Source organism: Homo sapiens, chromosome 2 (assembly GCF_000001405.40).
Source record: "Homo sapiens chromosome 2, GRCh38.p14 Primary Assembly".
In the NCBI taxonomy this organism is placed as follows: domain Eukaryota; kingdom Metazoa; phylum Chordata; class Mammalia; order Primates; family Hominidae; genus Homo; species Homo sapiens.
The window spans coordinates 40,439,749-40,455,423 of record NC_000002.12 but is presented as its reverse complement, the minus strand read 5'-3'; the positions used below and the strand labels follow the sequence as shown (position 1 = coordinate 40,455,423).

General features: G+C 41.5%; 1 protein-coding gene across 22 annotated transcripts in view; it reads left to right on the top strand.

The window, feature by feature from the left end:
• SLC8A1 (solute carrier family 8 member A1) overlaps window positions 1-15,675 on the top strand; it is a 415,166-nt gene that overhangs the window by 57,012 nt on the left and 342,479 nt on the right. For 11 of the 22 annotated variants that reach the window (NM_001351493.2, NM_001351490.2, NM_001351483.2 and 8 more), the window contains exon 1: window positions 3,334-3,520. The exons of 2 other annotated variants lie outside the window; for them this stretch is intronic. The gene's annotated coding sequence lies outside the window, so the exon portion shown is untranslated. Of the gene's footprint in view, window positions 1-2,074; window positions 2,264-3,333; window positions 3,521-3,739; window positions 3,965-8,775; window positions 9,208-15,675 lie in introns of those variants that run through there. 9 more of the 22 variants (NM_001351492.2, NM_001351488.2, NM_001394104.1 and 6 more) reach the window with 4 other exon arrangements.

The window sequence follows — 15,675 nt, the reverse complement described above, 5'->3', positions numbered from 1 at the left end:
CCCGAAGCAATGGAAGAGACAATAGAGGTACCTCTGATTTATGTAATTCAAAGTAAAAATGAAAGGAATTTAAACAGAGTATTGTGCTTGTTTTCCCTATGATGAAAACATATTGAGTGCTTTAGTAAAGTATTAAATATTTTTAAAAATCTTGGTAACCTGATCACATGTCTAAATTTTCTATAGACTAGATAAAAAGTAGGGCCTAATTCACAATATTTACACTTGGTCTGAAAATGAGTTTGCTAACAGATCCCCTGAAGGTTTCCTAGGAAATAGTTTGTGAACATCAGAACATCTTTCGAATATATCAAATCTTAGTGATATCCCTGTGGAGTCCCCTGAATGGTTGTGTCGTATTGCTTTGGTTAGATAACAGTGGAGACCCGGTGACTCTTAATTCCAAGTCCAGAGGAAAGAATGGCAATCAATATGGAAGACTGCAATTAAGAAACATTACTGCTATTAGAATGTAAATTACCACCTTCCTCCATTCAACATGTCTTCTTTCCAAAGCCACAGACTGCAGCAGCCTCACTTTTTCCTTTCTTAGAGCCATAGTCTTCCTCAGCCTTGTGCCTGTGATGCAGCCTTTGATAATTCTCGCAATAAAAACTCACTCATGTATGACATTTAGGAGGGAGCAAAAGGTTTGATTTGCCTTGGGGCCCTGGAACCATTATAAAAATGCCTTTAAAGAGAAATGAAAGGCAAAGAAAATTAGGGGCTCAGAAACTGACTGAACCAAAAAGGATGCCAAATCACTAGGCACTAGGCTGCCTCTCCAATAGTTCTAGATAAACAGAAGACCATTTAATATTGTTTTTTTCCCAAGAATCCAAATCAGTCTAAAAGCAGTTTCGATTGGAAAAGAGGAAGAATCAAGTGGCCAAGATGTAGCCTTTCAGTTTCAATGGTCAAAGCAAAAAAAAAAAAAAAAAAAGTCTTAAGACAGACTTTGGGCATCACTGGAGTATAAACATTTAAAGAACAGGGTTCTTGTCACTCCATGTCACAAACATGCCTAAAATTTCAAGAAAATCTCAGCTTTCACTAAGCGGCCCGTCATAGCAATAAGAGGCTACACTCTTTCCACAAAATCTATTCCAGTGAAATATGGCCCACTCACATTTTCATTTAGCTTTCTCTTGGTTCCTTCATTTGGCTGTGTTCTATTTCCTATTGAGTGGAGTCTTTAGTTATAAGCTTTCCTTAGTGTTATTTAGAAGGCAGCCACTTTTCTCTCCAAGCCCCTTTCATTGAGTGTGAGCCAAATATCTGCTACTCACACTGCCTTAAATTCAGGGACTCTAAGTAATTTTTGGTAGAGGACATATTCTAAAAGAGACAGTGACCTTCTGTCTCTCCCCACAGGTCATTCTGTTTATATCCACTAGTAAGTGTAGTCTAACCAAGTTGGTGTGGAAAGTAGCTTCCAAGAAAATTTAACTTATAGCAAGGAAAGAAAAATGTTCTTAGGCAAGAACGATTCCTGCAAATTTTATAAGACGTGAAGCAGCTTAGAGTGTCCTCTACAAAGCCAGTATCCAAGACTGCTGGCAACAGACCCGACTAATTAAAGTGAGGTCCTCATTCAGACGGCCTCAGCATCACTTCAACACTTGCCTACCCCAGGCCTGCTCCAGGTCTATTGAAAAAGAATCTGCAATCCCCATGTGATTCATACTCACATTCATGTTTGAGGAGTATTGGCCTAGAGCAGTGGTTCTCAACCTTCATTGCACATAGGAATCAACCAGGCATCTTAAAAACAAATTAAGGCTGTCTGGGGCCCACCTGCAGAGAGTCAAAGTTAATCAGTTTGGGGGTGTGGCCTAAGCACTGGGATTTTTAAAAACGGCCCAGGAGATTCTGAGGTGCAAGGAGGGTTGAGAGCCACTGGCACAGGGGCAGAAGAGGCTATTTCTTCCATTCCGCCCCCTCTTTGTTGCGGAGGCAAACTGAGGTTCCTGGAGTCAGAATCTATCAGTCGTGGTGACTGCCCTGGTTGCACTGTAAGTATGGGGGGACGTCTCCACGAAAAAAAACTAACTTTCTGCCTTGTGCTCTGCAGGTCCCTCCTTCTCCCACCTTCCCCAAGTAGCTGCTCCTGACCCCCCCACACACCTTGGCAAACGACACCAGTGGCCGATAGCAACTGGTGTTTTAAAAATACTAATTTGGAGCCCCATTTGAGACCTACAACGGGAGAGTCTGCATCAGATTCGGCCTCAGATTCTACAGCATCTGACTACATTCCCAGGTGTGTGTGATGCGCAGCCAGGTTTGGAAGCTAGTGAACTCCACAGTAGGTCTAGCCTTTCACCACGTGAAGTCATTAAGGGTTTGTAAGAATGAATGAGCTGTCAAGAGAGGAAAGGCCTGGTGCAGTGTTCCTTTATTAATTATGAGGAAAGTGATTTATTGGCAATGATAATGCTTCTCTTGGAAAGGGCAAAGAATGGTTCGTCGATTGCTGCATTAGGTTTTTTCCCACTCAACCTTAATGCTCGGCTTTTACTCCTCACTGTAGTTTAAAACCAGCACGCCTTTCACACGAAACAGACTCTGGGTCTTTATTCCCAGGTGAAACGCATCTTTGAGGGAAATACCAACACAGAGACTCTGTCCCAGTTCTTGGCCGGGGGACACCCTCCCCCGAATATCTCTGTTTGCTTGTGTCAGCATCTAGTAGCCAACGTATAGTTGTGCATATCTGATACGTAGAAAAACACAGGGTGAGGATTAAAAAAAAAATCATTGATATATGCCCAGATCCTTTTGCTAAAAGAAAGCTTCCTTTAGCAGAAGGGCAGGAAGTGAGGGAAGAAAGATAGTTGGATTAACAAAGTCAGAGGTGAGAAACGGGTAGGCGAATTGGGGGTCAGGGTTCTGTCTGCGGAAGAGAAGAAGAGGGTTCAAAAGAAAAGTTGCAGCGCCTGTGTGCGCGTGTCATCGATGGGCTGGGTGCGAGAGACAGCGCTAGCGCGCGGCCACAACGCACTGCGGGGCCGAGAGCCGGCAGGAAATCGAAAAAGCTGCTCGCCGGCAGAGGCTGGGAGGCTGGAAGGGCTCCCCACCCGCTCGGTGCTCCAGAAACGCGCCGGCTTTGCCCCGACGCGATCGCCTGGGGAGCCCAAGGGGCGCGCAGGGGGCCCCGGGGCGCCCGGCAGCCGCGGGGCCGAGCGCGCGTGTGAGCGAGTGCGAGGCTGCGGGCGGCGGGCGGGCGAGTGTGCGCGGGAGGGAGGGGGAGCGCGCGCGCGCCCGGGCCCCGGCCCTCCCAGCCTCCCGGCCTCCGCGCCTGCCTCCCGCCCGCGCGCACCGCTGCCCGCTGCCGCGGCTCCCGCTCGCGCCGGCGCTGCACGGTAGTCAGCCCGCCGCCGCCGCCTGCTTTGTGCTTCCCACAGAAGATGGGAGCGACCTCTTCCTGATCGGGAGCTGTTTAAAAGGAGGGAGTGCGCCGTATTTTCTACTAGCGTGGAGGAACGGAGGAAGAATCCATTCACACTCCCCAAACCAGGTAGGATCTTATGATGGACAGGCAGAAGGCATTTAGTCAGAGACCAAGAACTATTTTCCATTTGCTGCTCATAAGGCTACACTTCCCTCTGCTTTGGCAAACGAGCGGCTTCTAAATTTGTGTGTGTGTGTGTGTGTGTGTGTGTGTGTGTGTGTGTGTGTGTGTGATGTGGTGTGTGCGCGCCTGCACATTTTTCTGGGTGTCCGCGCTTCCCAGAGTGAAATTGCTCGGGCTGGTGCGTCTGGGCGTGAGGGTGCCTGCCTGCCTGCCAGTGCAGGCTGCCGGAGGAAGAAAGGGCTGCTAAGGAGAGATGCTGCACCCTGCACCGCGCTGGGCTCTGAGGATTCAGGGCGCGAAGAGCTAAGTCCACCCCGAATGCAGAGCTGCTGGGGATCCAGGCGTCCCCACCCACTGGACTCTTCTCCGCGGACATCCCTCCTTCCGGTAATCCCTGGGGTCTTTCCCCAAGGCCACATTTCCGAGCCCCCTGTTTTCCAGCGGGCGTTGGGTGCTCATTCACCACGGACTGCGGAGAGGAGGGAGGTGTGGCGGGGCAGAGACAGACGAGGAAGAAATGTAGGGGGTAGCAGGGAGTGGGCTGCGGGGTCCACGTCTCTGGGCACTGTGCCGTGGTGTGCTTTGGGGATTCTGCACACACAGGCATCTTTCCCCAAGAGATTGGAAGGGAACTTTGCAGCTGCATTCTCTGCCTCTGGAGCTTTGCTGGCTCTTGGGGGAAATGGTCTGTGTTCTGAGATGTGAAGATATCCTTTTTGGCTCCTCCTTAATGAAGAAGAGGGCGGTCTTATAGCTGGACAGCCGGCCAAAGAAACCAAATCCGCCCAGGCGATGCTCTTGAAAATACAGTACGTGTGCATCCTTGATTCTTTAAATCCACCCCCTGCATCACCCCCGCCTCTTCTCTATCCCCCCCACCACCCCGTGGATTCTGTTGCTGTTTGATGAATGGCTTGGGCTGGCAATTTGTATTTCCCTCTCCAAAGTGGTAGTGGTTGAGTTGAGAACAGGGGTGATGAAATTTAACAAAGCATTTTTAGAAGAGAGCAATGTGCATGTTGTACGCAGTCATTGGAAAGTCATGCTTTGCGCTAGGTATCCTTTTGAAGCCCCCGAACCTGGCTCTCCTGAAGCCGCTCTCTCTCTCTCCTGCTAGTCAGCTACTAGTGGTTGTGAATATAACAATACAAACTTTGTCCTGCTGGAGGTGTAAAGACTAAAAAGAGAAAAAAAGGATATCAGTGGGAGGTGTAGTGGAAGAAGCTTTTTAAAAAATGACAGATGTGGTGAAGACAGTACAAGCGTCCTGATCATGGAGGAGCCTCTAGCTGAGTAGGTGGAGATTTCTGATCAGATCTGGTTAAAGGCATTGCTGGAGTATCTCCAGATATGAGCAGTTGAACATGCACAATCTGAGACTTGTGCGAAGATTTCCCAAGGGAAAGAGGGAGCCACCAGGAGAGAATTCTGAAAGTATACCTCTCTTTCCCATGCCCCCACCAGCGCGCGCGCGTGCACACACACACACACACACTCACATGCTTTCTCTTTCTCTCTCAAAGCTACTCCTGCAGCGAGTCAGAAAAAAAAAGGAAAATGAATCTAGATGTTTCATTCATTTCAAATAAGAAGACAAAGCCGGAAGAGGGATGATTGGTTTTAGGTTCCTCTTTCAAATCCTGTGTTACTTGGATTGAGCTCCCTGGGTTTGCTAAACTTGCTTAATTGGGAGGTTAGGCGGGTGTGAAAGCAGGAGGAAGGAAGGGAAAACTAGCTCCATCTTTGGGGCCTTGTGAGTGAGAAGGTGGGGGAGGACCAACTTATTTCATCAAGAGGCAAGATGTGTGCTCTTAAATGGTTTTCGTTTTACAAATTCTGCCTGCTTGAAGAATTCCATTTGGATCTCACGGCTCTTTAGCTAAGATTTCTCACACCTGCTATAAAAGAAGCCCTGATTTTGTCCCCTTAAAATGGTTGTTGTCTTTTTTTAAAAAAATGATTAATTCCTAGAAAAACAACAGCAACAAAAAGGACTGAACAGAGATAAACCATTATTTATTGTTGAGCTGTATAGGGCTACAAAGGATGTAAGAGTGTCATGATAATCAGACTTTACTGTCTTGAAAGCTTAACAGGGCTGAAGGAGGAGAGTAATGAACTAAAATATGAAGGCTTATTTTCTATGTATCTATCTACCTATGTCTTTACTTTAATATTATTATATAGTGGTTCCTACTGTAACGTTTCAGATTAAGCACATAGCCCTTTTGTTGACCAGGGGAAGAAAAGAGCATGGGAGTAACAGTGCTTTGACTCCCAATAAAATTACAAATGGAAAGTGAGGTATAGTCAGTAACATCTATAGGACTATTTGCAGGAATTATGTTAATTGCTCTGTTAAGCTTTCTGTGTTTTGAAAAAATAAAATATATTCCAAGAGAACTTCAGCATCTGTTAAAAAGCTATGTTTAACATGCTTTTGCCAGGCAAATATAGACTTTTATTTACTTGCAAAATAAACACATGATTCCTCTTAGTATTCAATCTATTTCTTTGACAAAATAAATGATGAGAAAAGCTGTGCAGATCCAAGGAAGTTGCAATTCCCCTTTAAAAAGCCAGCCAAGGCATTCATTTAGCTCATAGATGTGGTTGTCTCAAAGTAAGTGCATTTTGGGACATTAATGTCTGTGTGTTTTTTTTTGTTGTTGTTTTTTGTTTTTTGTTTTTTTTTTTTAATGTTGCAATTCAGTGAGACAAGTTCTTTCTTTGTGATGCCTTTTAGGTACAGGGAGGATAGTATATAGATAAGAAGGAGACTGCCCTAAAAATATGGCAATAAACAAAATTCAAACTGAAATATAAATTAGATCTGGAAAAAGAAATGCAGCCTCTAGAAGAGGCTGTTAGAGCACATATGTTGCATGTTTTATATTTTCGTAGTATGTTGCTTTCAAGTAAACATTAAATTGTCACTTTATATTTGCTAAGAATTTAGGAATCAACATGCTATTATCTCTCTACTCTTCCTGGTCCCTTTATCTTTTTGTTTTTGCCCCCAAGGATAAATGTGTTTTGCTAAAATATTATCCAAATATCACCCATACTTGTAGTTAAATCCTTCATCATAACCTCCCATACCTCATACACCCCTCATCATAACCCCTACCAAATGGTCTCCCATCTGACCAAATTCTACTGCTCCCTCTTGTGGCAAACGTTCTGCCTGACTTTCTCTGGGTTCCAGAATCCTATCTGACATCACTTATGGTTCCCTTAGCTGTCTATCACTTTGGCTCTAATTCTTGGTAGTAAAGGTGGCTAACAAAACCAGTGGATTTCTGTACTAGCTGTTTCCACTTTTCTTTTTAAACGAAGGTATTTCTGTTCCCTAGAGATATAGCTGAGATTTAGTGGAAATAAATATCAGGTGTTTTCTGACCCATTGGGATGGACTAGATTCTGAGAATGTGAGCTTTCAGCGTCTGCCTTTGAGATTCAGATTTGGATTCAGGACTAGTCCAATGGGGCCTCATTAAGTGCAGCGGGATTACTTTCGGTTTTCTTTCTTCCTCTTCCAAAATCTCTTTTTCTCTCTTTCTCTCCCTGGCCTCCCCACTCTGTCACCTTCCATCCCCAGTCCTCCATGCACACATATACATTACAAAATACGTTTTACACAATATATATTTTGAAGACCTAATCAATGACTAGGTTCTCAGTAGTACTTATTAATCAAACAGTCCATTTTCTGATGTATTTTCCAGTGCATTGACTTATAAGACAGTTGCTCGTAGTCCTTGCTGCCTCAAGTGATTTTTGTAAGTTCTCTTTGCAGAGACTATATTGAACAGTAGGTGTTTTAAATTTACATTTGTGATTGTCCTTTGATCTGCCCAGCCAAGAGTGTAGACAGTAACAAGACAAAAGTTTAAGTGAATCACATTTCCACCTTACCTGAAACTTCCTAGTGAGTTTCAGTAGAAGGAGGGGAACATGTGGAAGAGGAAAAGCTCTGGCAGCTGAAGCAAAGAAAATGCTTTTGTGATCAAGGGCAAGTGCATTGCAGGCAGCAGTCTATACAGTGATTTGAGGGTGGGCAAAGCATTCCCAGGTTCAAAGCATTTATTTCTTGGGCAAAATAGTATCTGAAACTTTCACAATTAGAACCATTCATTTGAATAAAGGAATTCTATCTAATAGACCCTAATAAAATGAAATATTATCCGAGAAGGAGCTACCATTAATTCTCACAAATCATTAGCATATGTTCTTTCTTTTTTTTTTTTTTTTTTTTAACTTGGATTGGTTTATCAGGTCAACTGGCAGACAAAGTCCTGGGGGCCTGGAACACAGGAAAATACAGAGAATGTGAAAGAGGTTTAAAACTAGGTTGCTGCCCAGTTAGTGCACTCAGGGCCATTTTGGTGGGGAAGTTTGGGGCGATGTGAGTGCCCAGGAATGGGGCTGTTGATGGGGAGGGATAGAGAGTAGCCAGACAAAGGCAAAGATAAACTCTCCAAAATTTGGCTTCTAGAGCAACAAGGGTAATACAAATTTGATACTTTCTTGAAGATTTAGCCATTTAAGTCCTCTGAGGAGTGGGCAAAATATTTTCCCTAGAGTGAAATTATATCCTTAAAATCTTGAATAGATTCGACTGTATCATTCTGCAATATGTATTAATGCCCGTAACCTAGAAAATGCTAGTGTGATACCAATTCAGACAAATGGTTTCTTGTACATGTAATAGATCTAGGAAACTAGATGTAAATATTAAAGATCATCTTAATTTTTTTAAAAAGACAGATTAATTACTTTGTTGATATCATTGCATGGTAAGTGAGAACAATTAATAATTTCCTGGTTGGATCCAATGTGAGAGCAAGTCAAACAAGGTAGTGATTCAGCAATTTACTTCAACCAAATTATGATATTTATGGAGCATTCAGTGTATACAAGGCCCTGTGCTTGGCTTTTCAAAGAATGCAGATGATGAAGAAAAGTTAGTGACATTTGTTGAGCACTTTTTATGTGCCAGGGACTAGTCTGAATGCTTTACACACGTTTTCTCATTGGATGCTTATGAGTATTCTGCAGGACAAGGAAGCATCATTTTTCTGACTTAAGGATGAAGACTATGGTTCAGTGAAATAACTTGGGCCAAGGGCTAACAAGTAATGGTTAATAAGGAAGGCTCTCCAAAAGCCATGCTCTACACTGTTCTCTGTTCCCAGGGATGTCATGGTCTAGAACACCTATGCTGAAGTACAAGGCTGAGCAAGAAAGATCACTCCACTGCAACTGAGCAAAGTGCTGAAGGAGTTGAAAGGAAGAAGAGAACATTGGACGTGGTTTCACGGAGGAGGAAGCATTTTAATTTATTCAGAAAGAGTGAAAAGGATTTTGAAAGCAAATAAGGCTAGCCACTTTTGAAACATGTCAAAGAGCCCCAGCTTATTTACGACAAGGTAACCGTGGAGAAATGTTAGGGCAGTTTCTAGACCCTTTCATTCCGTTCTGTGTCCCAGTCAGGACCATGCCACAGAAACAGGATCTGAAACAAATAACAACATAAGCCATTGTACAAATGCATTTTATACTTGAAACCAAAATGTAGGATGAACTTCCAGCATGGCCTTGGAGGAGAGAGGCTATACCAGTCAGAGGTGAGGCAAGAGACAGACCACTTGCTAACTTGTTCCTTTATTAAAGGTGATGATTCTGTTTCCTCTACTAGGGTAGGTGGTTTTTATTTATCTCTTTAGCACCAAATGGTTATGCTGGTGCTTTTACAGTTGAGCTTCTGGAACTTCTCTAGCTTCCCATTTCTTCAGCTTTCCCTTAAAGCTCAGGACCCAGGGCCACCCTTTGGTTCTCTGCTGTGCTCCATGAATAGCATCCCATCCTGGTAGCAGGTTGAGAGAATGAGACTGCTTACTCTACATCCAAGCTTTAACTTCCTCTGGGGGCCGTGTTAGAGACCCAACTGTGGGTGGCATCAGACAGTTTGGAGAGGTACCCATCAAATGTCTCTCAGAAGTTTCAAGTCACTCTTCCAAAATGATCTTTCAAATGTTGGGGGATATGGACCCTTCAAAGCTGAAATTTGTGAATCAGTGTTGGGCAGTCAGTGCTTCTTTTCCCCTGACTCCTCCCTGTCTGCCTTTCTTCCCCTGGACATGCAGCTAGCTGTCAGAAGTTCTTTTTAAGAGCTTCTCTTTATCAGTCCTTCTGTTGCTTCATACCATGGCTAGCACTGGAAGAGACATCTGATATCACCTAGTTTTGCTTTGTGTTTATATTTTACAAATAAGCAAATGGAGGCCATGTAAAATTAAATGATTTTATAAGACTGAAATAGGAGATAGTAGAATCCAGTTCTATGACTCTGAAATCATTTCATCCAAGTTACCTCTTTTTCTTTTTCTTTTTCTTTCCCTGTGTAGAAAGCCTCCAGAAATTTGCCTGTGTTTTCTGGGCCTCAGGAATTCCTGAATGTCTAATAAGGATTCTTCAGGGTGGAAAGGGAACTACGACTTTTCATCTAGTTTGAGAATACTGACTAACAAAATGAACCAACCTAGGGTCCTCAGACTAAAGGTCTCTGAGGTCAGCAGACATATTCATGATAGTTATAACATTCGTTTGAATTCAAAAGATGGCATATTTGACATTGTGCTAATTACTTAGCCTTTTCCGTGTTTACTTTCTTCATCTATTAAATGGGAATAAAAATATTAAAAAGGCTTGTGGTTTTGTGTGAGGAGTAATAAATTAATATTAGTAAAATATTTGGAACAGTTTCTGACACATGGGTGCTCAGCAACTGTTAGCTCATTACTGAAGATATAAATGGTGAGAGAGAGCCTTGTTCCTGCCTGTGTGCCCCCAGGTGAATACACTGATTGGTGTGGTGAAGGGGTTGCCACAGGAAGGTAAAGGAAGATAAGTACACGCAAAATGGCATATACCGAAGATCAGAGAGCTGATTTTTTAAATGCCCAGATAGTCAGTATTTCTGGCTTTGTGAACTATAGGATCTGTCATAATTTATCAACTCTGGTGTTATAGCAAGAAAGCAATCATAGATGATATATAAATGAATGGGCACGGCTGTGTTCCATAAAATGTTACTTGTGGACACTGAAATTTGAATATCACATAATTTTCACATCATGCAATATTCTTTTTTTTCCAGTAATTTTAAAAGGTAAGAAACATTTTAATTTTGTGCGCCTTACGAGAACAGGTAGGAGGTTGACTATGTCCCATTAACCATAGTTTGCCAACTCTTGACACACACAGTATAGATTATGAGAGACGCAAATGAAACATTGATGGGCTTGGGGAATCCTAGCAATTGGTGTTGGTGTAGTGTGAAGAGAAATGGCCTAGAAATTCACAGAATTTGTTTTAGAGCCCAGCTCCATCACTTCTGAGATATTTGGGTTTGAAATGTCTCTTTCAGTTATCAGGCCCCAAGTTTTCTTACTGGGAAAGGTGGGGGCTAGGGAGACAGATGACTTTTTAATTTTACTTTTCTTTAAACAGGGTCTCACTCTGTCACCCAGGCTGGGGTGCAGTGGCATGATCATGGCTCACTGCTGTCTCTACCTCCTAGGCCCAAGTAATCCTCCTGGCTCAGCCTCCTGAGTAGCTGGGACCACAGACATATGTCACTGTGCCTGGCTAATTTTTTAATTTTATTTTTGTAGAGACAGGGGTCTTGCTATGTTGCCCAGACTGGTCTTGAACTCCTGGGCTCAAGCAGTTCTTCCTCAGCCTCCCAAAGTGCTGGGATTATAGTCATGAGCTACTGTACCTGGCCTAGATGACGTTTAAGGGCCTTCCTAGCAATCAAAGTAGTTTTATAAGGGAAATTTGACATTTGAGATGGGTCATGGAAGATAACCATCAAAGCATTAGAAAAGATGATGTGGTACATATTTGGGTAATTTTCATTTAGTAGCTCAGCTGACTACTAGCTGATATATTGACTAACAGTAAACCTGCACAGATGGACAGGTGTTATATTATAGATGGCACTGAATGCCAAAGTGTAGGATTCGAATATCACAGCTGCAGATTGTTAGCAGAATTTCCCAGTTTTACAGATGATACTAAGAGAGGGAAAATGACTTCTCCAAGGACATATGACTGGTCAGTAGAGCTGAGACCAGCACTCATTTCTTTTAGTCCCTAGACCAGTGAACCTTCCATCTACCACATTGACCCTATAAGTGTGGTAGAATGCAATTAAATGCAGTTGCATGGCTCTGACCTCAGAGAGAAAAAGTCTTGTATAAATTATAGAAGCTACTTTTTGTCCCTTCCAAACATGATCTCATACCCCAGCATATCTAAGAAGGTACGTCTGTGAATAATCCTGTTACAGAGAAGGGTAATTACAAAAGTGTCCACCTAAGACCTTACAATTCAACAACCTTTTGGCTGGTTTCCTGCAGAATGTCTTTTAAATCTCAGCTTAGATGTTATTTTTCAGCTGAACTTTTTCTAATACTCTGGTAGGTGAAGTCCTCTGTTACTTAGTTTTATAGTCACATTTTTACTTCCATAGCCATTTATTCGAGTTAATAATTATGGATTTCTTTTTTTACTTTAAGTTCTGGGATATATGTGCAGAGTGTTCAGGTTTGTTACATAGGTATAGATGTGCCATGGTGGTATGCTGCACCTATCAACCTGTCATCTAGGTTTTAAGCTCTGCATGCGTTAGGTATTTGTCCTAATGTTCTCCCTCCCCTTGCCCCCAACCCCTCAGAAAGCCCCAGTGTGTGTTGTTCCCCTCCCTGTGTCCATGTGTTCTCATTGTTCAACTCCTACTTATGAGTGAGAACGTGTGGTGTTTGGTTTTCTGTTCCTATGTTAGTTTGCTGAGGATGATGGCTTCCAGCTTCGTCCATGTCCCTGCAGAGGACATGATCTCACTCCTTGTTATGGCTGCATAGTATTCCATGGTGTCTATGTACCAAATTTTCTTTATCCAGCCTCTCGTTGATGGGCATTTGGGTTGGTTCCAAGTCTTTGCTATTGTAAATATTGCTGCAATACACGTATGTGTACATGTGTCTTTATAGTAGAATGATTTCTGTTCCTTTGGGTATTTACTCAGTAATGGGATTGCTAGGTCAAATGGTATTTCTGGTTCTGGATCCTTGAGGAATTGCCACACTGTATTCCCCAATGGTTGAACTAATTTATAATCCCATCAACAGTATAAAAGCATTTCTGTTTGTCCACAGCCTCACCAGCATCTATTGTTTCCTGACTTTTTAATAATTGCCATTTTGACTGGTGTGAGATGGTATCTCATTGTGGTTTTGATTTGCATTTCTCTAATGATCAGTGATGATGAGCTTTTCTTGATATGTTTGTTGGCTGCATAAATGACTTCTTTTGATAAGCGTCTGTTCATATCATATCCTTTGTCCACTTTTTGATGTTTTTTCTTTTTTTTTTTTTTTGTAAATTTAAGTTCCTTGTAGATTCCAGATATTAGACCTTTGTCAGATTGGGTAGATTGCAAAGTTTTTCTCCCATTCTGTAGGTTGCTTGTTCACTCTGATGCTAGTTTCTTTTTCTTTTTTCTTTTTTTTTTGAATTATCACTTTTAGTAAAAAGATTTATACATTTGTTTGTTTTTTTAATTTTATTTTATTATTATTATACTTTAAGTTTTAGGGTACATGTGCACAATGTGCAGGTTAGTTACATATGTATACATGTGCCATGCTGGTGTGCTGCACGCATTAACTCGTCATTTAGCATTAGGTATATCTCCTAATGCTATCCCTCCCCCCTCCCCCCACCCCACCACTATTGCGGCACTATTCACAATAGCAAAGACTTGGAACCAACCCAAATGTCCAACAATGATAGACTGGATTAAGAAAACGATGCTAGTTTCTTTTGCTATGCAGAAGCTCTTTGGTTTAATTACATCCCATTTGTCAATTTTGGCTTTTGTTGGAATTGCTTTTGGTGATGTAGTCATGAAGTCTTTGCCCATACCCATGCCCTGAATGGTATTGCCTAGGTTTTCTTCTAGGGTTTTTATGGTTTTAAGTTTTACATTTAAGTCTTCAGTCCATCTTGAGTTAATTTTTGTATAAGGTGTAGGGAAGGGGTCCAGTTTCAGTTTTCTGCATATGGCTAGCTTGCTTTCCCAGCACCATTTATTAAGTAGGGAATCCTTTCCCCATTGCTGGTTTTTGTCAGGTTTGTAGAAGATCAGATGGTTGTAGATGTGTAGTGTTATTTATGAGGTCTCTGTTCTGTTCTATTGGTCTATAATGTCTGTTTTGGTACCCGTACCGTACTGTTTTGATTACTGTAGTCTTGTAGTAGTATAGTTTGAAGTCAGGTAGTGTGATGCCCCCAGCTTTGTTCTTTTTGCTTAGGATTGTCTTGGCTGTACAGGCTCTTTTTTTGTTCGATATGAAACTTAAAGTAGTTTTTTTTTTTTTCTAATTCTATGAAGAAAGTCAATGGTAGTTTGATGGGAATAGCATTGTATCTATAAATTGCTTTCACAATATTGATTGTTCCTATCCATGAACATGGAATGTTTTTCCATTTCTGTCCTCCCTTATTTCCTTGAGCAGTGGTTTGTAGTTCTCCTTGAAGAGGTCCCTCACGTCCCTTGTAAGCTATGTTCCCAAATATTTTATTCTTTTTATAGCAATTGTGAATGGAAATTCATTCATGATTTGGCTTTCTGCTTTTCTATTTTTGGTGTATAGGAATGCTTGGGATATTTGCACATCCATTTTGTTTCCTGAGACTGCTGAAGTTGCTTGTCAGCTTAAGGAGTTTTTGGGCTGAGACACTGGGGTTTTCTAAATATAGAATTATGTCATCTGCAAACAGAGACAATCTGACTTCCTCTTTTCCTGTTTGAACACCCTTTTTTTCTTTCTCTTGCCTGAATGCCCTGGCCAGAACTTCCAATACAATGTTGAACAGCAGTGGTGAGAGAGGGCATCCTTGTCTTGTGCCAGTTTTCAAAGGGAATGCTTCCAGCTTTTGCCCATTCAGTATGATATTGGCTATTGGCTTGCCATAAGTAGCTCTTATTATTTTGAGATGTCCCATCAATCCCTAGTTTATTGAGAGTTTTTAACATGAAGCGATGTTGAATTTTATCAAATGCCTTTTCTGCGTCTATTGAGATAATCATGTGGTTTTTGTCATTGGTTCTGTTTATGTGATGGACATAATTATGGATTTTGGGTAGTAATTTAAATGAACATCTGTCATCTGTCTTCCCAGCTAGGTAATAAGTTCCTTAAGGAGAGAGATTACGTCTGTCTATCTCATGGTTCTAGCCCCAGTGCCTCGCACTTTGCTATATACATAAAAGACGTTTGATTTTTTTTAATGAATGAATGTTCTCCTATTAATCATTGATATTGATGAAAATAATTGTTGCATTAGCAAAGGCTTCATAGATAGAAATTATCTTCAATTGCTAATTAAATTATTAAATAGAATTTCTTCCTCCAGTGACTTTTTTCTCTACCTTTTTCAATGGCTCCTTTTAGGACCACCTTTGTGATAGATAAATTCACATCTATTATAATCCTCATCTGTCACCAAAAGACAATAATCTAGCAGTGTCAGCATAGTTACTAACGTTAAAACCATACCACTTAAGCCAATTTTAATAATTTTTCAAACACAGGTATATAAGATTGGTTTAAAGAACATATTCACTAGATGCCCTAGCTAGTAGAGAAAAACCATGTATTTCTCTACTAGATTTCTGTAAGAATGTTGTGTTTTCCCATGTCACCAACACTCCCTTTGGTCCTCTAAATAATAAGATTTGACTAGTTTCTTTCTAAGGTGAGTTTCATTTTTAAAGTGTATTGTAATAGGTAATATATACTATACAATATTGTAATATGTAAATAGACACTTGGTGTTAGAACTTTGTCACTGAGTATATTGTCAGGAACTTTAGAAAATTGTAGCATACAACACTGATGGAGAGTCACCCTTATGTGAGCACCCATCACCTTGACTTTTTAAAATATGTTTCTTTTTACTTCCTACTTCCACTCTTTTCAAGAAGAGCTTATTCTTTCAAGGACTGTAATTTGAAACTATGC